The sequence below is a fragment of the Homo sapiens genome, chromosome 17 (genome assembly GCF_000001405.40).
Source record: "Homo sapiens chromosome 17, GRCh38.p14 Primary Assembly".
NCBI classification, from domain to species: domain Eukaryota; kingdom Metazoa; phylum Chordata; class Mammalia; order Primates; family Hominidae; genus Homo; species Homo sapiens.
In genome coordinates this window covers 16415530-16437331 of record NC_000017.11, presented here as the reverse complement: position 1 = coordinate 16437331, position 21802 = coordinate 16415530, and the positions used below count along the sequence as shown (strand labels likewise).

The window sequence follows — 21802 nt, the reverse complement described above, 5'->3', positions numbered from 1 at the left end:
CCTGCCCAAAAGCAGGGTGGGTGTGGAAAGCAAAGGGTGTCGTGGTGGAGAGAGAGGAGAGGTGGCTGTTTGCCCATGTCCATCACCATATATCTGCCACAACAATGGGCACAGCACCTCAGCCAGCTGCCTGTACCCAGGAAGAGGACAGTCCCCAGACTTGGGGATGTGGGGGTGAGGGTGGGGACACAGCAACTGAGGGTCTCTGTGCCCAGGCAAGGGCAGGAGCAACCTAGTCCCATACACAGACCTGTGCACACAGAGACATGCAGACATTGCCAGCTCTAAGGGTCCCAGCAACTCTGCCCAAATAATGTTTCCAGAAGAGTTAGTTAGTGAAAATATATATTTGCCACCAGAATTCACTGGGACCCCAGAGCCAGCAGATGTGGTTGGAAAGATCCTCTGCTCTGTCCTCTGGCCTCCTGCTGCATCTGGGCCATCAGTTGGACTGGAGGAGCTGGACGGGCACATAGTTTTCCTCAGAGGCACCATCCTCATCCTCCTTGGGAGGGGAAGCCAGGACAGGGTTCTCGAGAGTTCCTGTAAACAGATGGCAAGCACTGTAGCTTAACCCTTGAGTGTGTCCCCAGGAAGCAGGCACCAGGGAAACGGGGCCACAGTCATGAAAACACGTCATGCCGTGGGGACAGCCTCAGCGATCCTGGAGGCCAGCAATCCTTCTCCCTGCTTCCCTCACTCCACAAGCATTTCCCAATCCCCTGCCATATCAGGGGCTTCCCCCTGCCCCTGCCACCCCCAGGAGCTTAAAGTGCCTGGAGGTGACAGACTTGTGTGTCAGAGATCAGAACACCTGAGACATGCTGGGGGAGCTCAGAGGAGAGAGGGGACCTGTCCTGCAGGGGCGGTGGCAGATTTGGACATCCAGAGGGGAGGAAGAGCACTTCCGACAGAGACGAATCCAGAGATGAACCAAGGAAAGCAAAGAACAAGGAGTACTGCAGACATGTGGATGGAGGTGTGGGGAGTGAGTTAGACAGCTTTGGGCCCTGACCTCCATTCTGAGCAGTGCGGCCTTCCAGGTAGTGGGAGGCATTGTGTAGCGTGGGCTGCATGTGGTTTTTGTCCACATTAGCAGGACTGCAATGGGTAAGAGTGCAGGCTGGGCCCCCCTGCAGTGGTGCAGAAGTAAGAGGCAGGGCAGGGCAGAGGGATGAGTGGCCGCCTGAGGGGTCAAGGACACTCAGCTCCAGGTGGGAGAGCTGGTATAGCGGGGGGAATAGGCTGAGACTCTCAAGGCCTTCCACCTGGGTGAGGAGGGGGTGGGGTGACATACATGTGACCTGCTGGGGCAGCCCCGAGGCTGTTCCTGTTGGGAATGTCACATTGGAGGCCCCAGCAGGCAGTGGGGTGTGGAGTGCTTGGGGCAAGATGAGGGAGGGACAAGGTGACTTTCAGAGGTGACTTTCCTGGCATTGTAGTGAAGAGAGGGAGATGCAAAGAGAAGGTGAAGGGAAACCTATCTGTATGTGAGGCAGTGGTCACGGCCCAGGAGCCTGGGAAACCAGCAGGCTGTGGGGCAGAAGAGGCCAGAGGAGCCTCCCTACAACAGGGGCCATGGGAGACTCAGGAGGCTATTGTGGGGGGCAACAGGCACAAGCAAGTGAAATTTGTCAGGAAAGAGATGGAGAAAGGAGAGGAGGTGAACCAGTGGAAGGTGGGAGCTATTGAAGGTTCTAGAAAGAAAGGGTATGCAGTGGGGACAGCTAATCCTCAGAACAGGCCTCTGAGGGTGGGAGGAAGGAACCAGTCTTGGTGGAGGCAGCAGGGTGGGGACAGGAGGGGCCATCACTACACTGGAACGGAGAGGACACAGGCCACGGACATGGAGGAAGCATGGGAAGTGGTTTCTCAGAGGTGGGGGACTTGGGGTGTGAAGGGACTAAGGGCCTATGCAGGGCAGTTCCTCTGAGGGTCCAGGGAGATGCTGCCTCTGTTGTAGGCTGCGCTGTGACACAGCCCTTCCTAACTTATTCCCCTGCTGAGTCCCCAGGCTCAGCCCAGGCCTGGCTGGGGACAGACCCTCGATAACCAATTGAATGGGCAAAGGGTGTGACTGACTGGCATCAGAGAGAGGGCAGCCAGAGGCTGGGCTGGTGGAAGCGCTAACAGCCTCAGAGGTTTCCCCTGGTTCCTGCCTGAAAGCAAGGTGTGGGTGGAAAGGAAAGGAGGGAACCACTGTTTTAAGGAGGCAATCCCTCTAAGAGGAGCTGGCATGTGGGGATCTGCAAAGGGACTATGAGGAGGTCTCTGGGTCCTGCCCCAGACTCTCCAAGGCTTTGTGGCCAAGCAGCAGAGACACACACCCCAGGGCAGAGGCTCTAGTCACCAGGCTACTCACGAGGGACACCTGCCCCTGACGGGTCCTCACACAGCGTAGGCAGCGTCTGCTCCCATGAAGCCCAGTTCACCTCCTCCACCCTGAGGGCAACAGAGCAGCTCTGAGGTTTGCCTGCTTTGACCGCCTCCCCTCCCACCCCGGAGAGGGGCGTGGCCCCCCAAATTGGGAGACTATGCAGAGATGCTCTGGTGGACACAGAGGCCCTGAGGAGGACAGGCTTTTTCTCTGCAGGGTTCTGGGCCACCCACTTGGAGCCCTGTCCTGTGAGGCAGGTGCTCACTTGCAGGAATCAGCATCCATCGCTTCTGGCTGTTCACAGCAGCCTGGGTTGCCCAGAACAACCAGAGAAGAGGAATTCAGATCAGGTGTATCTGTGCTTCCGGGTTCTGGGGCCTATCATGGCTGCTCCTCATGCCCAAGACTCCGTCTCTCTGCTCATCTGCTGCCTCACGACAGTGTCTGTTTTTTTTGTTGCTGTTGTTTTCTTTTTTTTTTTTTTTTTGAGATGGAGTCTCGCTCTGTCGCCCAGGCTGGAGTGCAGTGGTGCGATCTCAGCTCACTGCAAGCTCCGCCTCCCAGGTTCATGCCATTCTCCTGCGTCGGCCTCCTGAGTAGCTGGGACTACAGGCGCCCGCCACCACGCCCGGCTACTTTTTTGTATTTTTAGTAGAGATGGGGTTTCACTGTGTTAGCCAGGATGGTCTCGATCTCCTGACCTCGTGATTTGCCCGCCTCGGCCTCCCAAAGTGCTGGGATTACAGGCATGAGCCACTGCACCCGGCCGACAGTGTCTGTTTTTAGCTGTGTGTTTGTCACTAGGTTCCCTCTCCCAGTGTCCCAGCCTTTCCTGGACACAGAAGGGCATGTTCTCCATGGAAGGGGTTGTAGCTCAGAGATCAGGCTGGCAGAATTGGGGGTGGGGGGACACAGAGCAGCCAGGGCAATGCTAGAGTGCTAGCAACCCAAGGGTCCCTCTGACTTCTTGGCCTCCTTACCGTAACACATTTCAGGCTACAAGGAGGAGTCTGAGATCACCAGGAGGGGACCTTCAGTTTAAGCCACTGGGACAGGCAGATGGCCAGTCATGTGGCAGCCATGGCTTGTGAGATCCAGACCCCTGACCTCACCTGCTCAGGCTCAGTCCCTGGTGCTCTTTGGGCCTGCCCTTCCCACCAGACCTGGCTCCTGGCAGCTGTGCCCTGCACTGCAGGGGGGCCCCAGGGATTGCTGGACAGCAAGGCCCCCAGGAGACCCTCCCACCACTCACTCACCTGAAGCACCAGCGCTCATCGGGGCTGCCATCTGGCTTAGTGCCAACGGTCAGCATCACACCTGCCCGCTGCTTCTTCCTGCACCACCAATAGCCATTCTCCATCTCCAGGACAGAGATGGCTTTCTGGGGACAAAGGATGCATCAGACAGAACGTCCTGGGACCCTGCCTGGGGGCAAAGGCACACAAGGCAAGCGGAGCAGGGAAGTGCCGCGCAGCACTTCACAGTATAACGCGAAGTCAACTAAACACGCGGATTCGAATCTGGCTCCAACATCCGGTTACCTGTGTGGGGTTGGGCCCTCAGCCTCTCTGCATCTCAGTTTCCCCATTTGTAGACTGAGGACAAAGTGCCTCAGACAGCTGATGGGAAGTCTGTACCTTATGAGTACTGGACAGCTACTTGCTCTTACATCGTTCCAGGCTCCAGATTGCCACACCACCAGGAACAGAACTTCATTTGCTCACCCCACACATGTGCCTGCCCAGAGGCACACCAGTGAGTCAGGTGGGGCACAGAACCTTGCAGAGGAGGGCACCAAGGCTCAGAGGAGATAAGGGGCTTCCCCAAGATCAACAATGAATTGGCAGCAGGGTGGGGCATGGTGGCTCATGCCTGTAATGCCAGCACTTTGGGAGGCCGAGGCAGGTGTATCACCTGAGGTCAGGAGTTCAAGACCAGCTTGACCAACATGGTGAAACCTTATCTCTACTAAATACAAAAAATTAGTGGGGTGTGGTGGCACATGCCTGTAATCCTAGGTACTTGGGAGGCTGAGGCAGGAGAATCGCTTGAACCCAGGAGACAAAGGTGGCAGTGAGCCAAGATTGCACCATTGCACTCCAGCCCGGGCAACAAGAGCAAAACTCTTGACTCAAAAAAAAAAAAAAAAGAAACACTGGACAGCAATGATGATAAGAGTAGCTGGTAGCACATTGAGCACCTGCTTGGTGCTGGGCACTGTCCTAAGTACATCTATGAGCTTAAAGGAGGTGGGAGTAATCTCAGCACTTTGGGAGGCAAAGGTGGGAGGATCACCTGAGGCCGGGGCAACATAGTGAGACCTTCTTCTCTACAAAAAATAAAAATATTAGCCAAGTGTGGTGGCAGGTGCCTGTAACCCCAGCTACTCAGGAGGCTGAGGAAGGAGGATCACTTGAGCTCAGGAGGCCGAGGCTGCATTGAGCTGTGATCGTGCCACTGCACTCCAGCCTGGGTGACAGAGCAAGACCTTGTCTCCAGAAAAAAAAAAAAAAAAGGAAGAGGAAGACTGACAAGGTAGAGCTGCCCAACCCGGCATCTCCTGGCTAGGGAAGGCCCAGCTCCGCAGGGTCCGGAGCACTCCCCACCGCCTGAGTGTGGGGTGGGGTGGGGGCAGGGAGCCTCTCTGGTGGCACCTGCAGCTTCCAGATGCTCCAGCTGTCAGTGGCGACACTGTTGACGGTCTCGCTCATGAGGGCGATGAGCATGTTGAGCAGCAGGATGTAGGTGAGCAGCACGTAGGCCAGCAGCAGCAGCAGCACCATGCCGCGGAAGTGCAGCTGCTCCTGGAAGGCCAGCTCGCCCATGCCGATGGTGAATTTGAAGAGCTCCAAGGAGGCTTCCAGGATACCCCTGTACTGGGCCCCGTTGCCCTCGTCCTCCTGTCCCTCCATGGGCTGCACTGACTCTGTGGCATTGGGGCCTGTAGGAGCTTCGGGGCGCCAAGCCTCCTGGCTCAGGCTCACCAGGGCTATGGGATGAAGGGAGAGGGGTCCTTAGCCCAGGAGACCGGTGGGCAGCCTTGGGAGTGTACAGGGTGGACAAGGAACGTGGGGAAGGGGGAGGGGGCCGGAGGGAGCCTTTACCTACAGCGAAGCCGAAAAGGAAGACTAAGTAGATCAGAAGGAAGCGCAGCAGGTCCCGCAGGATGACCTGGAACACATGTGCCCAGGGGCCAGGGTGGGTAGCTGGGCCACCAGTCACGACCCCAGAACCCTGCCTCACCCACAGCAGCATGGTTCCCGTGTACACTGCACATACGCACACATACATATGCATATGTGGGCCTGTGGAGCCACACCGAGCAGAGGAGTCTTTTAAAAATATATCTCAGATCTGGCTGGGTGCGGTGGCTCATGCCTATAATCCTAGCACTTTGGGAGGCTGAGGCGGGCAGATTACCTGAGGTTGGGAGTTCAAGACCAGCCTGGCCAACATGGTGAAACCGCGTTTCTACTAAAAATACAAAAAATTAGCCAGGTGCAGTGGTGTGCCTGTGCTTGTAATCCCAGCTACTCAGGAGGCTGAGGCAGGAGAATCACTTGAACCCAGGAGGCAGAGGTTGTGGTGAGCCGAGATCACACCACTGCACTCCAGCCTGGGCTACAGAGTGAGACTTCGTCTCAAAAAAAAAAAAAAAAAAAATATGTATATATATATATATATATATATATATATATGTCTCAGATCACATTGTTTTCCTGCTTAAAACTTTCCAGTAGCTGGGCATGGTGGCACAAGCCTACAGTGCCAGCTACTCAGGAGGCTGAGACAGGAGGATTGCTTGAGCCCAGAATGTCAAGGCGGCAATGAGCTATGATCGTGTCACCGCACTCCAGCCTGGGTGACTGAATGAGTCCCATCTCAAAAAACAAAAAACAAAAAACAAAAAAAAAAAACCTTCCAGGGTCACAAAATAAAATATAGAACTACTGTATGACCCAGCAATTCCACTTCTGGGTATGTATATGCCCAAAAGAATTGAAAGCAGGGACTCTAACAGATACTTTTACACCCTTGTTCGTAGCAGCATTATTCACAATGGTCAAAAGGTGGAAGCAACAGGTGACTGGATCGACAGATGAATGGACGCACAAAATGTGGTGTATCTACACAATGGGATATTATTCAGCCTTACAAAGGAAGGAATTGGCTGGGCGTGATGGCTCAGCCTGCAATCCCAGCACTTTGGGAAGCCAAGGTGGGTGGATCACCTGAGGTCAGGAGTTCAAGACCATCCTGGCCAACGTGGCAAAACTCCGTCTCTACTAAAAATAAAAAAAATTTGCCGGATGTGGTGACACATGCCTGTAGTCCCAGCTACTCGGGAGGCTGAGGCAGGAGAATCGCTTGAACCTGGGTGGCGGAGGTTGCAGTGAGCCAAGATTGCATCACTGCACTCCAGCCTGGGCAACAGAGCAAGACTCCATCTCAAAAAAAAAAAAAAAAGGAAGGCATTTCTGACACATGCTACAACATGGCTGATCCTTGAGGACATTATACTGAGTAAAATAAGCCAGACATTAAAGGACAAATACTGTATGATTCCACTTCTACGATGTAGCTATGGTCATCAAATTCGTAGAAACAGAAATTAGAATGGTGGCTTCCAGGGACTGGGGGAAGGGAATGGGGAGTTGTTTAATGGGTGTTGAGTTTCAGTTTGGGATGACAAGAAAGTTCTGGAGTTGGATGGTGGTGATGGTTATACAACAGTGTGAATGTACTTAATGACACTTAGCTGTATACTTTAAAAAAAAAAGGTTAAAATGGGCCAGGCGCAGTAGCTCATGCCTGTAATCCCAGCACTTTGGGAGGCCAAGGCAGGCGGATCACCTGAGGTCAGGAGTTTGAGACCAGCCTGGCCAACGTGGTGAAAACCTGTCTCTACTAAAAATACAAAAATTAGCCGGGCATGGTGGTGGGTGCCTGCAACCCCAGCCATACGGGAGGCTGAGGCAGGAGAATCGCTTGAACCCAGGAGTAGGGGTTTGCAGTGAGCTGAGATGGTGCCATTGCACTCTAGCCTAGGTAACAAGAGTGAGACTCCATCTCAAAGAAAAAAAAAAAAGTTCCATGTTAGGTGTATTTTACTACAATTAAAAAAAAAAAAGCCTCTGGGGACCTCCAAATCCCTCCCCGTGGAAGGGGCCCCTGGCCCTTCCCTTCCTCCCAACCTCCTCACCTCCACCCTCCTGCCATCTCCCCAGCCACCTAGCCTCCTCACCCTGTCCCAAGCACCCCAAGCTCCTTCTGGCTCGTGGCAGCCACTGCTGTGCCCTCTGCTGAGAATATCTCCTCTTCACCCTGCTGTGGCTGAATCATTCTTTCAGGTCTCAACTTAAACATCCCCTCTTTAGAGAGGCTTCCCAGACCATCCCATCTAAAGGGTACTTGGTCCCAGCCATTCTGCATCACATTGTCCTGTGCTTTTTTTTCCTTCATAGAATTTAGCAGTGTGGAATGTTCTCAGTTGTTTTCTTAAGGTTTTCATTTCCTCCCACCAGAACATCAGCTTCAGGGGAGCAAGGACTTGTTCTGTTCTCTGCTATATTCCCAACACCTAGAACAGGGCCCGGCCCACAGTAGGCACTCCCTAAACATGCGCTGAATACATAAATGAATGCAGTTACATGCCCGCGCCCACACATCGCAGGACACAGACATGCAGATGAGCTTATGCACATATTCTTTGCTCCTTGCTTGTGGAAGGATGCACATGCTCCCGTGTGGACACCTGCAAACACACATATGTACGTTTGTTTGCGTGTGCATGCAGAGCCCTGAGAGAGGTATGTGCAGGCCTGTACTTAAGCTTCCATCCAGCAAGCATCTGAGTGCTGGCGCACAGGCAGATGTACACATGCCCTCCTCTGCCTAGGATAGCTGTGGAGGAAGGCTCTTCTTGCCTGATGAGGCCAAAAGAGTCCCGGTGGGCCACCCCCTTCTCTCACCTTCTGGATCATGACACTGTAGATGCCTGTGTGCTGGAAGCCACGTGTATAGTAAAGCAGGTTCAGCCAGCCCAGCACCAGCGCAGACACAAGCAGGGGCAGGTACCACTCGATGGCCAGGAAACACAGCACCTGGGACACCACTGTGAGCAGGGCCTGGAACAGGCTGTGTGGGAGCAGAATCCAGGTGGGCTTGCGGGCCACTTGGCTCCCTGAGCCCCCACTGGCCTATGCTGACCAAGGTCCTGACCTCCATCTTAGGCAAGACATTTAACCTCTGTGGGCCTCAGTTCCCTCCCACTGTAAAATGGGCATAATAATAATGATGCCTGACTCATAGAGTGTTTTCAAGGACTAAGTGAAACAGGTATGTGCCGAGGCCTAGTAAATGTCACTATCACCATCTACAGTGATGGGAGCACAAGGGGCCCCAGGCTGGACGGCAGCCCAGACTCCTGGGACTGGCCTGTACACAGATCCCGACTTCCTGGGCCCCGTGTCCTCGCCTCTAAAGCCAACCTGGTGCCTTCTGCCACAACTGCCCCTTCCAGACCTCAGAGACAGTTGAGAGAAGGAGGAGTGAGAACCCACGTACAAGAGGATTTCAAAGTAGCTGTCTATGAACGAGATCCAGATGAACACGTGGCGCCGCCAGAAGTACCACAGCTGCGGAGGAAGGGAGGACAGAGGGCTGTGAAACCTGCTCTCCCGCATGCCCCCTGCTGGCCTGGCTGAGTGGGAGCCTGCCACCCAGGCTAGAGCTAAGTCAGCAGCTTTGGTTTTGGGGGACTCATGAATACTTCTGATAGCTGAGATAGCTTGGGACTTTCTTTCCAGAAAGAGCAGCCACCTAGGCAAGGCCGGGGGGTGCAGGTGAAGAGCCTGTGCACTGCATGCAGGAAGGGGAAGAGCACCTTTCCCTTCCCTTCTCCCTGGCCTCACAGGGAGCACCCATACCCCAGCCAACCTGCGTTTGGTGCCCAAGTTCTGCCCACTCTGCGGAGGTCCCAATGTCTTGGTGTCCAGCCTGTGTCCTGCAGGCTTACAGCATTTCCCACTGAAGAGGCCCTACTGGGGGAAATAGCCTGAACCCCACCTACCTCTGGTCTCTGTGCTCCCCAAGAGGGGAGCTTCCCAGCCGAGGGGCCTGGCTAGGGGCAGGCGCTTCCAGCTCCATTCCTGGGGGAGCAGAGTCTGTACTGCCAAGGAATCAGAGAAGCTATCTGCTACCCCAAGGAACCCCAAAAGCACAGCAGAGGGGTTCCTGGGGACTCAGAAGGCAAGGCCAGAACCTCTGGCCCTCAGCTTCAGTGAGGCTGGTTGCTCTGGGTGGGACTGGGTATTGTCAGTGAGGGGATGCAGCTAACTTTCTCTAAGCCCCCTGAAGCAGAATTCTAGGTTTGCTTCTTGGTAGGAGAAGGGGAGGGGCACTCACCTGGCCCACGAGGAGGTAGATCCCCCCTAGCAGGATAAGGATGTGGCCCGTCAGCAGCATGGAGTTTCCAACCTCCGCTTTCAGGTGAGGGGCGGCCTGCTGAAGACACACTCAGATGAGACCTAGGGCCTTGGGTCCTCTCTCGAACAGCTCACCCTTCAGAGCTGAAGCTGAGGGCCTACTCTGAGCCTGAGCTGTGGAGAGGCTCCTCAGAACGGCATGGGAACATGGGCTCCAGGGAAGGACCCCTGGATCCTGAGAGGCACATTGTGTAGCATTTCAGTGTAGGGTCTGAAGCCAGACTCCCTGGATTCAGATTCCCTCTCCACACCACTTCCATTCTGTGTGACCCTGGGCAAGTTACTTAACCTCTCTGTGCCTCCCTTCCCTCTACTATAAACTGGGGGTGATTATAATTCACCATCTCAAGGGTTTTGGGGCACATTAATTAGTCAACACATGTCCATCACCTAGAATCCTTTTTCACATACAGTGAGCACTCAGCAAATCTTCACTGTATCACCGTTAGTACTGCAGTGCTGGCTCCCATAAGCTTGGGAATGTCACTCCAGCAGCCCATGCCTCAGCACTATTACTGCCCCATCTTCCCCCAGGGTTGTTTCAAGCAGGCCTCCCCCAAGATGTGCCCCCCCAAACCTCACGCCCTTGCCTTCTTCAGGGTAGGCTGATGGTAGGCAACAGCGGTGAAGATGAACATGTAGATCAGATTACACAGGAAGTTTAAGAAGAACTTGGGGATGAGCAGATCCCATTTCGCCTGCAGCAGTTTGTTCAGGGGCTCCAAAACGACCATTCGGTGTCGGTGCTGGGGTGGGGAGGGGAGAGCCATGGGTACACTCAACAAGTGCAAATAGGCTGCCCACTCCATGTCAAGATCAAAGCAAGGGCCCAGGAAATGAGGAGAGAGGACAGGGAGCAGGCTTCCACACCCCAGGAGCCCCAAAGGACCTCACGCCAACCCTCCCAGCTACAGTGTGACTAAGGGGCTTGCCCTCCAAATGAGATGCTGGTTAACAGAGAGGACCCGGATGGTTGCCACGAGGCCCTTGGCATGATCCCCGTCTTGGATGGGACTAGAGTATGGATTGAGTATGGGCCCGGTGGCCATGGTCAGGGTCGTGCCTGCTGGGACATGCAGCCACACCCCCACTGGCACAGGAATGGGGCAGATATGGTCCAGCAGGCAGCCCCAATTTGTGGACCTTGCTGGAAACTCTGCTGGGTCCTCTGCGTGCACCCATGCTCCTGTGGGCTCACCGGGCTCTTGCAATGAAAGGCAATGATCTCCAGCACTGAGTTCTCCTCACAGCTGTCCACAGAAGCCAGGTCATACAGCGACACCCGGACAGGCCCATAGCACCACTCGGTGAACTTTCGGGAAAGGTGGCTCAGTCCTGAAAACTCCCGCTGCAGGATGTGCCTGAAAATCTGCAGGGTGGCCATATGAGCTTGCATTCATGGTCCCTTCCTGGCACTGATCCTGGGCCAAGGCTGGGAAACACCCAGGACTCAGCAGCTGCCCACGGTCTGCAGAGCTGCAGCTGACACGTGCACGTACCCCCATACACGCAGGTCCTTGTTTGTCTAAACTCTTAAACACACACACGCACCCAGCCACATCTGCCCCAGCCTGCCAGCCAGCCTGGCTCTTCCTTCCCCTCCCCTGCCCTGTGGCCTTCCTTGAACTCCTCAAATGGCAGATTGATCCCTAGCCCTGGGGTCCTTGAGGCCCCTGAGATCAGAGTCTACTAGCTGTATCTGTGTGTGCACTTTCGCGGTCAGAATCTAGAATTTTCAACAGACTAGAAAGTGGTCCCTAATCCAAACAGGTTAGGAAGCAGTCTGGTTTCACGCGTGAGGAATGGGAAAGGAGGAACAGATCAGGACACTGCTTTCATAGGCCACACAGCAGTGCCTCTAGACAAGAAAGTGAGGTTCACACACCCCAGGGAGCACTCCAAAAAACTTGGGAGGGCAGCGAAAAAGGGTTAAAACTTCTATTTATGTTTATCGTTTCCTTAATCTTTCAAAAATCTCCACTGTAAGCCCATGAGGCCAGCCCTGGTGAGCTATTGGCAAAAGCTATTTGGAACAGGCCATTGGTAAGCTATCTGGAACAAAGTGGGGGCTGCCTCATGTTTACTCTTCCTACCAGAATAACTTCCAGCTAGTCAAAGCTCTAGGCATTAAAAATGCAGCTGCAGGCTGGGCGTTTCGGCTCATGCCTGTAATCTCAGCACTTTGGGAGGCTGAGGCAGGTGGATCACCAGAGGTCGGGAGTTTGAGACCAGCCTGACCAACATGGAGAAACCCCGTCTCTACTAAAAATACAAAATTAGCCGGGCGTGGTGGCACATGCCTGTAATCCCAGCTACTCGGGAGGCTGAGGCAAGAGAATCGCTTGAACTCCGGAGGCGGAGGTTGCAGTTAGCCGAGATCGCGCCATTGTACTCCAGCCTGGGCAACAAGAGCGAAACTCCATCTCAAAAAAAAAAAAAAAAAAATGCAGCTGCAAAAGTTTGGAAGAAAATATGGGTATGAAGATTATATATATACTATATATAATTATAATGTATAATATAATGTATAATAGTTATAACATATATTATGTACATATAATATGTATTATATATATAAAATCTTGTAGCAGGAATTAGACAATAGCAAAACCATGGAACCTTAAAGGAAAAGATAGTCACACTTGCAGATTATAAAAATTTTTAAATCCTGTATAGCAAAAAAAACATAAAATTCAAAAGACAAATGATGAACTAGGAGAAATTTTACAAGTGCTATGGTAGACAAAATACTAAATTCATTATAAAGTTATCAATAAATATGCAGAAACAGAATAGCAAAATAGGCAAAAGATATAAAAAGGCTATCTCTTAATAAAGAAACACAAACGACTTTTAAAAATTCCCAATGTTTGGCCGGGTGCCATGGCTCACACCTGTAATCCCAGCACTTTGGGAGGCCGAGGTGGGCAGATCACCTGAGGTCAGGAGTTCAAGACCAGCCTGGCCAACATGGTGAAACCCCATCTCTACTAAAAATACAAAAAATTAGCTGGGTGCAGTGGCGCGTGCCTGTAATCCCAGCACTTTGGGAGGCCGAAGCGGGTGGATCACGAGGTCAGGAGTTCAAGACCAGCCTGACCAACATGGTGAAACCCCTCTTTACTGAAAATACAAAAAAAAAATTAGCCAGGCATGGTGGTGGGTGCCTGTAATCCCAGCTACTCAGGGGGCTGAGGCAGGAGAATTGCTTGAACCTGGGAGGCAGAGGTTGCAGTGAGCCGAGATCATGTCACTGCACTCCAGCCTGGGTGACAGAGCGAGGGTCCGTCTCAAAAAAAAAAAAAACAAAATTAGCTGGGTGTGGTGGCACATGCCTGTAATCCCAGCTACTTGGGAGGCTGAGGCAGGAGAATCGCTTGAACCTGGGAAGCAGAGGTTGCGGTGAGCCGAGGTCGCACCATTGCACTCCAGCCTGGGCAACAAGAGCGAAACACCGTCTCAAAAAAAAAAAATCTCAATGTTTTATAATGTAATATATTCAGTAGTTCATATGCAATTTATAAATAAACAGAAATATATCAGAGGTACATACTGAAAATTTTCTTACTAACAGGAGTGTTCCATTGAAAAGCAGAGAAGCCACTGCTCTTCACCACCCCCTGGGTTCTTTCTGCAGAAATTTTGGGATGAGACCTACTGCTTCCTGGAGAGGGGAAGTGGGAAGGGGACAGCCGCTCACCTCGATCTTGCCCTCCTTGGCGGCCAGCTTCAGAGGCGTGAGATCCTGCAGGTTGCGGATGTCCTCAAGCTGCACGGTAGGGCAGAGGCGGGCCCCAGCTTGGAGGAGCCCATCATACATGCTGGTCACCAGTGCAATGTTCTCAGCTGAGTTGTCCGAGATCATCACTAGGGCATGCAGGACTGTGTTGCCCTGGGAGTCAGTGGCCTGCAGGCTGGCGGGCTGGTGTGGGTTCTCCAGGAGGTAGCTTACCACATCCCACTGCTTGGTGCAAGCGGCCAAAGAGAGGGGTAGCTCACCTGCAGGCCAAGAGAGCAGCTTGGGCCCCAGGCCTCCTGCTTTCCATCTGCCTACTCCTCATGCTCCTTGGACAAAAGGCCAGCCCTCCTTGAAACAGGTCAGGCTTCTTTACCACTGAAGGGAGCAGAACAGGGGCCAGCCAACCTGCTGCCTTTTGCTGTCTTCTTTGCCAGAGCCCAGGCATGCTGCCTCTTTATTCAGGCTCTGCCTGGCCAAGTCACATGCCAGTGCTAGCAGCCCCTATTTCTTTCCCTGGGTCTGGGTCTGGGTGCATGCCCGTCTTCTGGCCAGACGAGGATGAAACATCTCTTATGACAAATTAATGCTGGATGTGGTGGCACACACTTGTAGCCCCAGCTCGAGAAGCTAAGGCAGGAGGATTGTTAGAACCCAGGAGTTTGAGGCTGGCCTGGACAAAAGACAAACTGCTTTTGCAGGCAGCCTAGTGGTTAGAAGCAGGGCATCGGGGTCAGAAAAACCTAGGTTTAACTGCCAGCTCTGTCATACACTAACCATGTGACCTTGAACCAGGCCTTACTCTCTCTTTGCCTCGATTTATCCAAGAAAGGCTCACTCACCGAAATAAAAGCAAGTCCCTTGGCCCTTCTGGAAGAAGCGGCCGCAGGCCCGGGCATGCACATTGGCCCCATTCTCCACCAGGAGCTTCACACACTGCAGACTCCTCTTCTCAATGGCGATGTGCAGAGCGCTGTGGCCTCGGTAATAGTCATCTGTGCACTGGGCATTTACCAGGGGCTGAGGATTGCCAGAGTCCCTGTCGATCTGCAGCAGTGGCAGAATGCAGGCATTGACTCCGTCCTTAAGGTTCAGCACAGCCTTCATCAGGCACGTCTTACCTGTGGAGCCCTCTGTGGGAAGAAGGGAGGGGAAGGGGCACAGTGGTGCTGAGACCTGGAGTGGCTGGGCTGCCCGATAGCTCTTATAAGCCCAGCTCAAAGTACCCCTTGGGAGGATTAAAAGAGATGCTACACATAACTGGTGGGAGCACAACCATGTTATAGGCTATTAAGGCTCCAAGTAACAGATAAGAAATACCAACAGACATGACTACAATTTCTGCCCTAGAAACGAAATTTCTTTTTTTTTCTTTTTCTTTTCTTTTCTTTTCTTTTTTTTTTTTTTTTGAGACAGAGTCTTGCTCTGTCACCCAGGCTGGAGTGCAGTGGCGCAATCTTGGCTCACTGCAAGCTCTGCCTCCCAGGTTCACGCCGTTTTCCTGCCTCAGCCTCCCCAGCAGCTGGGACCACAGGCGCACACCGCCACACCCGGCTAATTTTTTTTGTTGTTTTGTTTTGTTTTTTGTTTTCAGCAGAGACGGGTTTTACCGTGTTAGCCAGGATGGTCTCGATCTCCTGATCTCATGATCTGCCCACCTCGGCCTCCCAAAGTGCTGGGATTACAGGCGTGAGCCACTGCGCCCGGCTTAGAAACTAAATTTCTAAGACATAAGTCATCATTCGTGAAATGCTGTCTACAGCAGAACATTCAGAGCAGTATTTGTACATGACTCCACCACTTAATGTCTCTATCTCCTCTGGCAAGTCACGTGGCCTCTCTTAATCTCAGTTTTCGTTACTGTAAAATGGGAATGTTCCAGGATTATTGTAAGGTTCAAAGGGAATAATATAAGGCCAGGCGCAGTGGCTCACGCCTGTAATCCCAACACTTTGGGAGGCCAAGGTGGGCAGATCACGAGGTCGAGTTCCAGACCAGCCTGACCAACATGGTGAAATCCCATCTTTACTAAAAATACAAAAATTAGCCAGGCGCAGTGCTGGGCGCCTGTAATCCCAGCTACTCGGGAGGCTGAGGCAGGAGAATTGCTTGGACCCGGGAGGCAGAGGTTGCAGTGAGCTGAGATCACGCCACTGCACTCCAGCCTGGGTGACAGAGCAAGACTCCGTCTCGGAAAAAAAAAAAAAAAAAATGGCCAGGCGCGGTGGCTCACGCCTGTAATCCCAGCATTTTTGGTAGGCCAAGGCGGGCGGATCACGAAGTCAGGAGATTGAGACCATCCTGGCTAAAACGGTGAAACCCTGTCTCTACTAAAAAAATACAAAAAATTAGCCAGGTGTGGTGGCTGGTGCCTGTAATCCCAGCTGCTCGGGAGGCTGAGGCTGAGGCAGGAGAATGGCATGAGCCCGGGAGGTGGAGTTTTGCAGTGAACTGAGATCGCACCACTGTACTCCAGGCTGGGCAACAGAGCAAGACTCCGTCTCCAAAAAAAAAAAGGGGAATAATATAAACAAAGTGGATAGCACACAGAGGGCCTGGCACACAGCTAGTTGAAGCCAAAAACTACGAACAACCTAAAATGGCCATCGATAAGTAAGGAATTGGTTAACTAAATGATGATAAGGACACAAGGGAAAACTCACTCTGCAGTTGTCAAAGTGACTAAGTTAGACATGTACTGAAATGGAAAGTGCTACAAGATGTATTAAGTGGAGGAAAAGCACGTTACAAATTAGTATATGTGTCAAGACCCCATTTATGTAAATATATACTGATGTATTAAGAAAGTCTGGATAGGCCCTGCGCGGTGGCTCACACCTGTAATCCCAGCACTCTGGGGGGCCAAGGTGGAAGGATCACTGGAGCCCAGGAGTTTGAGGCCAGCCTGGGCAACATGGCAAAACCCCATCTCTCCAAAAATAAAAAAGAAGAAAGAAAGAAAGTCTGAACAGATGCATTCTCAAACAATTAATTGGAGCCCAGGATGAGAGACTGTGTTTACCCTTGGCTCTATATGTTTCCTTACTGTTTGAATCTTCTAGAGTACTCATGTTATTTTTCTGATCAGCCCAAACAATACAGATATTTAGATTTTGGGCAAAGAGTGCTTTGAGATGGGTTAAGTATATGGTATGTGCATTATATATTATATCTCAACAACACTGTTATTAAAAAAGATAAAAAAAGATTGCTTTGGGTTTCCATTCAGCCACTGCAATGGGCTAGGGGTGACAGAGGTAGCCAGGAGGCCTGAGGGGTGGGTGGAAGTGGGAGGCACAGCCAAGACTGACAGGAGGCCATCCTTGATTAACTCTGTCCACAGGGCCCCCCAGCCATCCTTCCAGTGGGAGGGCTGCTGAGAACACTCACTCCTCAGCTCCTGACCAGGGATCAAGCCCACACAGCCCACCTAACTATCAGCTCACAGGATGCCTAGCCTTGGATCCACAGGGCAGGGTCTACCTGTGTATTCCGAGTCGGTGAGGTACTTGCTGGTCTTGCTCAGGTACTCTGGAAGTCCAGCCAGATCCTCGGGGACACCCCGGGAGACCGCATTGAAGAGCCGATCTCGGTCAAATCGGTTTGGATCCGGCTGACTGTGGAGGATGTGGTTTGTGACTCATGCTGGAGAAGAACCACAGGCCCCCCCAAAAGCCCTCCATCCCAGGGAGCCCTTTCAGGGAGTCCTGTACACACTGCACACCCCTCAGGCCCAGGAGCCCAGTGAGAGCCCTTCTGAGGGCCTCTATCCTCCTAGAGCCATCCTAGGGGACCCCGGGAGGAGGAAAAGGGGCCTGTCCAGGCACTAAGCTGCTTCATCCCCATGACGCCAGTCATCACAGACACTTTTCAGCATCAGGTGCTTGTCATGTGCCAGGTGCCTTGATGTACCATCTCTCAACAGCCTCGATATCCCACTGGGTCCCCTTCAGCACACACCACTTGTGGTGGCTCTTGAGCTTGGGGCTGGATCTGGATAGGGCTGTGGGAGGTCCCCGCAGACTCACAGTGGCTGCATGCATCACTGCCTTCAAAGAAAGTATGCAGAAAATCTCCCTTCTCCTCTTAGAAACCATCTATTAACTACAGAATATTCTGTGCCTTTCATCTTCACTTCAGCCCTGCTGGTCAGAAACTACTCATTTCTCCATTAGATAAACAAGGAGGTCATGTAACTTGCCAAAGTCACACAGCGCCAAACTGGGAATCTCAGCAGGGCTGTTTAACTTTAGACCCTGACTCTGAATCCCCAGAGAGATTCTAGGCTTGGCAGCAAGAAATTTCCCAGAAACAGAGCATTACCTGGGCCCAACGCTGGGCCCAATGTTGAAACATATCAGACACCACCAAGAAGGCACACCTAATGAGAAATCTCTCCCACAGACCCCGGAAGGGATCTGGTAGCTTGTCAGAATCTAGAATCTAGCAGCGTCTGGTGACTGGAAGTGGGAAGGGCATGAGTCATTCCCTCCTGGGCTGTGTTACTAATCACAGGGGCCAACTTGCCTCTGGGGCTTCTGGTACCACCACCAGCAGATATGCGAAGACAAAGAACAGGGGGTGCTATTTGATGATTTGTAGACCCTCAGGTCCCAGCTTAATGTCTCTTGTGGAATGGGTCAACCAAGTAAAGGTTGGTGACAAGGTGATTGTTGGGATCCGTCACTTTTTTTTTTTTTTTGGAGACAGAGTCACACTGACACCCAGGCTGGAGTATGGTGGCATAATCTCTGCTCACTGCAACCTCTGCCTCCTTGAATCAGGTGGGGATTTCAAGGGTAGACTTTTTAAGCCAACAGCTATGACTGTAATTACAGCCAGCCCTCCTTTGTCAGCACCAGGAAGCCACACATGACCATGAGGGCTCTATCTGCTGCTGACAGGAGCCCTGTGGACAGTCTGGCTGGCAGAAGTGGCCATTTGGACAAAGAACTTTCTGTCACCAGGGTGGCATCATGGTCCTGGGGTAGGGAAGCCCATTGAGGGCACAGATTGAGGTACTGAAAGCATCAAGGGCCCGTCCTGCCTGTGTCGGGCAGGCTCCACAGCTCCCAGAATCTCCTCATGCATCCTCCCCTACCCTGGTGCTGAATCTGACCACTGTCCTCCAGCACAAACAGGAAGCAGCTCTAGCCTGCGAGGCCAAAGCTGGTGGCTGTACCTCAAGCATGAGAAGGGAAGAAGGGGCTTCTGTGGCAGAGTCTAGCCTGGCCCATGAGGATTCTCCAGCCTCACTGGGCAGGCCCCGCCCCCGGGCAGGGAAGTAGGGGGTGCCAAATGCAGCAGGACTGGAAGTGGGACTCTCAGGAATGTGGTGCTCACACAGTCTGAATTGGTGGAAAGACCACAGGAAAATCAAAGTGCAGATGACTCCAAGCAGAAGCCTGTCATCCCCAATCCCACAGTTCACGTCCCCTGAGTGACAGGCTCAGTCTTGCAGAACTGAGGAGAGCCTGGGACATTTCCAGATGTCCTTGATTCTCACTGGATGGAGTGTGGATCCTGCTGCCTTCCCCAACAGGGACCATGACAGGGGTGGGAGTTGGCATGAACAGGGGGATTTGAGGGTCAGTTGAGGACTTAGAGCTCAAGAATGTATCTCATGAAGAACATGACCTCAGAAGGCAGAAGGCCAAGAATGGGGAAGCCTCTGGAAAGAGCAATGCCAGATGGCAGAGCAGAGGCAGCCTGTCGGGCCCAGGAGCCACCAGGGCCAGACTGAGGACTCCACAGGCTGTGGGAAGGGGCACTGGTGCTGGACTAGTCAATGAGTCTCACTCCGGGTGCTCTGCTGGAGCTGGGCAGGGGGCCCCCTTTGCCCTGCCCCCACTTGCTGTCTCACCTGGCACCTGTTCCCTTTCGGTAGTTGAGGTTGACTCTTATCTGAGGGGCGAATTTCCGGTCCTCGCCCTGGAACTGTGACTCCATGGGAGGCAGCCCGCTCCCAAAATCCAGCTTTCCTCTGTCCGCCTCAGAGCCATCTTCTTGGCCTCCATCTAATGTCTCCAACCTGAAAACTGGAGAGCTGGAGGGTGAGGTCATCCTAGGAGGAGGAGGCTGCTCGGTCCAGCCAGGACCTCTGTGCAGATGGAGATGTCAAGGGTCCTGTCTTCCTCCCAGCTGCGCGTCGGTGTTGGCCTGACTGGAGCCTGCAAAAGGAGGTATTAGGTTAGTGCAAAAGGCTGGGCGTGGTGGCTGGGTGTAATCCCAGCACTTTGGGAGGCTGAGGCTGGCTGGTCAGCTGTTAGAGACCAGCCTGACCAACATGGTGAAACCCCATCTCCACTAAAAAAAATACAAAAATTAGCTGGGCATGGTGGCTTGTGCCTGTAATCCCAGCTACTAGGGAGGGTGAGGCAGGAGAATTGCTTAAACCCGGAAGCTAAGATGGCACCACTGCACTCCAGCCTGGGCAACAGAGCAAGACTCTGTCTCAAAAAAAAAAAAAAAAAAAATTGCGGTTTTTGCCATTACTTCTCATTACTTCTAATGGCAAAAATGCCAAGTGCAAGTAGGTCCACCCACTGTGTGGGAGCCCAGCCCCAATGCAGGGGAAGTGGGCCAGGAGGGATGAGCAGCAGGGGTGAGGAGAGGGAGGGAGGCCTGTGGGGTGAGGAACAGGGAACCAATAGGGCCACCCTTTTGATGTTGTCCCCCAGGAAGAGCCATGACTGTCCCCGACTTTTCCTCTGGGACTTCCTGGAATCTGAGGGGTCACAACCCCTGTTACCATTTACATTAACAGCACAACCCTTTCTTTACACAACGTCTTGCCTGGCAGCCAATATTCCAACAGATAAAAGTGCGATGACTGGGATGGGGCCAGTCACTCAACCCCTCGCCAAAGAAGGGGAGCTCTAAGAAGAAATAACTGGGAAAACCACTAGACTATCAAACCCTTCATTTTGCTGCCAAGACTACTAAGGCTTAGAAAGGGGGAGTGGCTTTCCCAAGGTCGCCAGTTGTTGGCAGAGCCGGATCTGACACCATGCGTCTACCATGACGTTCCTCTTCCGTTTTCAAAGCCTTTCAGGGTCTGTCTATATTTTCAGTCTGATTCAGCTCTGAAGGCATCGAATACTACCTTTGTGTGCCTCAGGGCCTCTGGGGGCTTCACGAAGGGAGGGAGGCCCCTAGCCTGTGGCCCAGGCTCTCTCCACCACGCTGCCTCAGGCCCTAGGCTGGCCTAGGAAGCTCAGCAAACAGCACAATCTCACCCTCACAGGAAAACTGAAACCACAGCCTCCATCACTTGGCAAGGGTGGGGCCTCGGTCAGGGTTGGGGAACCCTCATGGGCCCAGTGAGCAGGATCAGAAAGAAGAAGGAGTCAAAGAGTGGTAAGGAGACAGAAGGGTGGAGAAGGGGGCAGGGGGCAGGGGGCAGAGAGCAGAGAGGAGCGGCACCAGCAGAGGGAAGTGGAGAGGGTAGGCTGGGACCAGGCCCTGGGGACCCGGGTGGGGTATTTTCCCATGGAAACATGGGAGGTGGGGAGCTGCCTGGCTGCCTCAGTTTGCAGATGTGACCCACCACCCTTTCTACACACACTGGGGCAGAAGGGTGCTCTTTCCGTTTCATACCGTTTAGCCCATCTGTGTCCCCAACCAAACCCTGGCCCATTCCTCCAGCCCTAGACTCCCAAGCCCCAGCAGCAACAGTTGTCTGTCCAGCCCCCACCCCACCTCCTGGGACCCTCACCCACCCTGGCAGCAGAGGAAGGGGTGTGGAGGTCCAGGGAGAGGGTGCTGGAGCCCCACACAGACCCTGGCTCCAGGCTGTAGAAGCCAGGAGCCCACTAGGCCTTCCCCACCCCATCATTCACTGTCAGGCTTGGAGACCCGGCCCCCTCCAACGTCCCCAGCATTGCCCACCGACTTACCCCGCAGGCTGAGGCCAGGGCGTGGCGGCTGCTGGGATCCCGGAGCTTCTCAGTAGCAGGGGCTGCGGGAGGAAGTGAAGCCGGGAGGGGCTGCCGGCGCTGACAGCAGAGGAGCGGCGGAACCTCCCTCCCCAGCTCTGAGCACTAAGCTCCAGCAAGCAGGTTCTGGTCTCTCGGTCACCCTCAGCCCACCTGGCCAGCCGGCACGGTGGAGAACGGGAGCTTAACTCTCCCCTGTCAGGACAGGCTAGCCACCAGAGACTGACCATCTGGACACACCCTGCTGCGAATCAGGCTCCACCCC

General features: G+C 53.3%; 1 protein-coding gene across 16 annotated transcripts, besides 7 other annotated features; it reads right to left on the bottom strand.

Moving 5' to 3' along the window:
* Positions 1–328: 328 nt before the first annotated feature.
* Positions 329–21761, bottom strand: TRPV2 (transient receptor potential cation channel subfamily V member 2). Of its 16 annotated transcripts, none has more exons than XM_006721541.5 (15): positions 21499–21761; positions 19464–19770; positions 17084–17217; positions 14443–14733; positions 13565–13863; positions 11063–11233; positions 10455–10610; positions 9785–9883; positions 8945–9015; positions 8350–8515; positions 5482–5548; positions 5032–5366; positions 3634–3758; positions 2351–2442; positions 329–543 (listed from the first exon to the last, which is right to left on the bottom strand). In XM_006721541.5, the coding sequence occupies exons 2-14, from the start codon at positions 19661–19663 to the stop codon at positions 2355–2357; spliced, it is 2202 nt and encodes a 733-aa protein (XP_006721604.1). In that variant the 5' UTR covers positions 19664–19770; positions 21499–21761; the 3' UTR covers positions 329–543; positions 2351–2354. The 16 variants fall into 16 exon arrangements, with proteins under 16 accessions (XP_006721604.1, NP_057197.2, XP_005256733.1 ...); NM_016113.5 differs by having other exon boundaries at positions 2363–2442; XM_005256676.3 differs by having other exon boundaries at positions 2363–2442; positions 9785–9880.
* Positions 447–1079: an enhancer, noted in NCBI's record as "H3K27ac-H3K4me1 hESC enhancer chr17:16339567-16340199 (GRCh37/hg19 assembly coordinates)". NCBI's record gives its function as "activates a minimal SCP1, AML or CMV promoter by ChIP-STARR-seq in primed H9 embryonic stem cells {active_cell/tissue: H9 hESC(primed)}" and the evidence as "EXISTENCE:reporter gene assay evidence [ECO:0000049][PMID:30033119]".
* Positions 11058–11558: an enhancer, noted in NCBI's record as "H3K4me1 hESC enhancer chr17:16329088-16329588 (GRCh37/hg19 assembly coordinates)". NCBI's record gives its function as "activates a minimal SCP1, AML or CMV promoter by ChIP-STARR-seq in naive H9 embryonic stem cells {active_cell/tissue: H9 hESC(naive)}" and the evidence as "EXISTENCE:reporter gene assay evidence [ECO:0000049][PMID:30033119]".
* Positions 17342–17431: an enhancer, noted in NCBI's record as "active region_11763". NCBI's record gives its function as "activates an Ori minimal core promoter by ATAC-STARR-seq in GM12878 lymphoblastoid cells {active_cell/tissue: GM12878}" and the evidence as "EXISTENCE:reporter gene assay evidence [ECO:0000049][PMID:35858748]".
* Positions 20031–20140: an enhancer, noted in NCBI's record as "active region_11762". NCBI's record gives its function as "activates an Ori minimal core promoter by ATAC-STARR-seq in GM12878 lymphoblastoid cells {active_cell/tissue: GM12878}" and the evidence as "EXISTENCE:reporter gene assay evidence [ECO:0000049][PMID:35858748]".
* Positions 20481–20530: an enhancer, noted in NCBI's record as "active region_11761". NCBI's record gives its function as "activates an Ori minimal core promoter by ATAC-STARR-seq in GM12878 lymphoblastoid cells {active_cell/tissue: GM12878}" and the evidence as "EXISTENCE:reporter gene assay evidence [ECO:0000049][PMID:35858748]".
* Positions 20791–20860: an enhancer, noted in NCBI's record as "active region_11760". NCBI's record gives its function as "activates an Ori minimal core promoter by ATAC-STARR-seq in GM12878 lymphoblastoid cells {active_cell/tissue: GM12878}" and the evidence as "EXISTENCE:reporter gene assay evidence [ECO:0000049][PMID:35858748]".
* Positions 20971–21090: a silencer, noted in NCBI's record as "silent region_8224". NCBI's record gives its function as "represses an Ori minimal core promoter by ATAC-STARR-seq in GM12878 lymphoblastoid cells {active_cell/tissue: GM12878}" and the evidence as "EXISTENCE:reporter gene assay evidence [ECO:0000049][PMID:35858748]".

Coding starts and splice junctions, on each gene's coding strand:
- TRPV2 (NM_016113.5), bottom strand. CDS start 19,663: ATGACCTCACCCTCCAGCTCTCCAGTTTTCAGGTTGGAGACATTAGAT. Junction 14,734..17,083: donor CACCGACTCGGAATACACAG/GTAGACCCTGCC, acceptor TTCTTCCCACAG/AGGGCTCCACAGGTAAGACG. Junction 3,759..5,031: donor GGAGCATCTGGAAGCTGCAG/GTGCCACCAGAG, acceptor CTTTGTCCCCAG/AAAGCCATCTCTGTCCTGGA.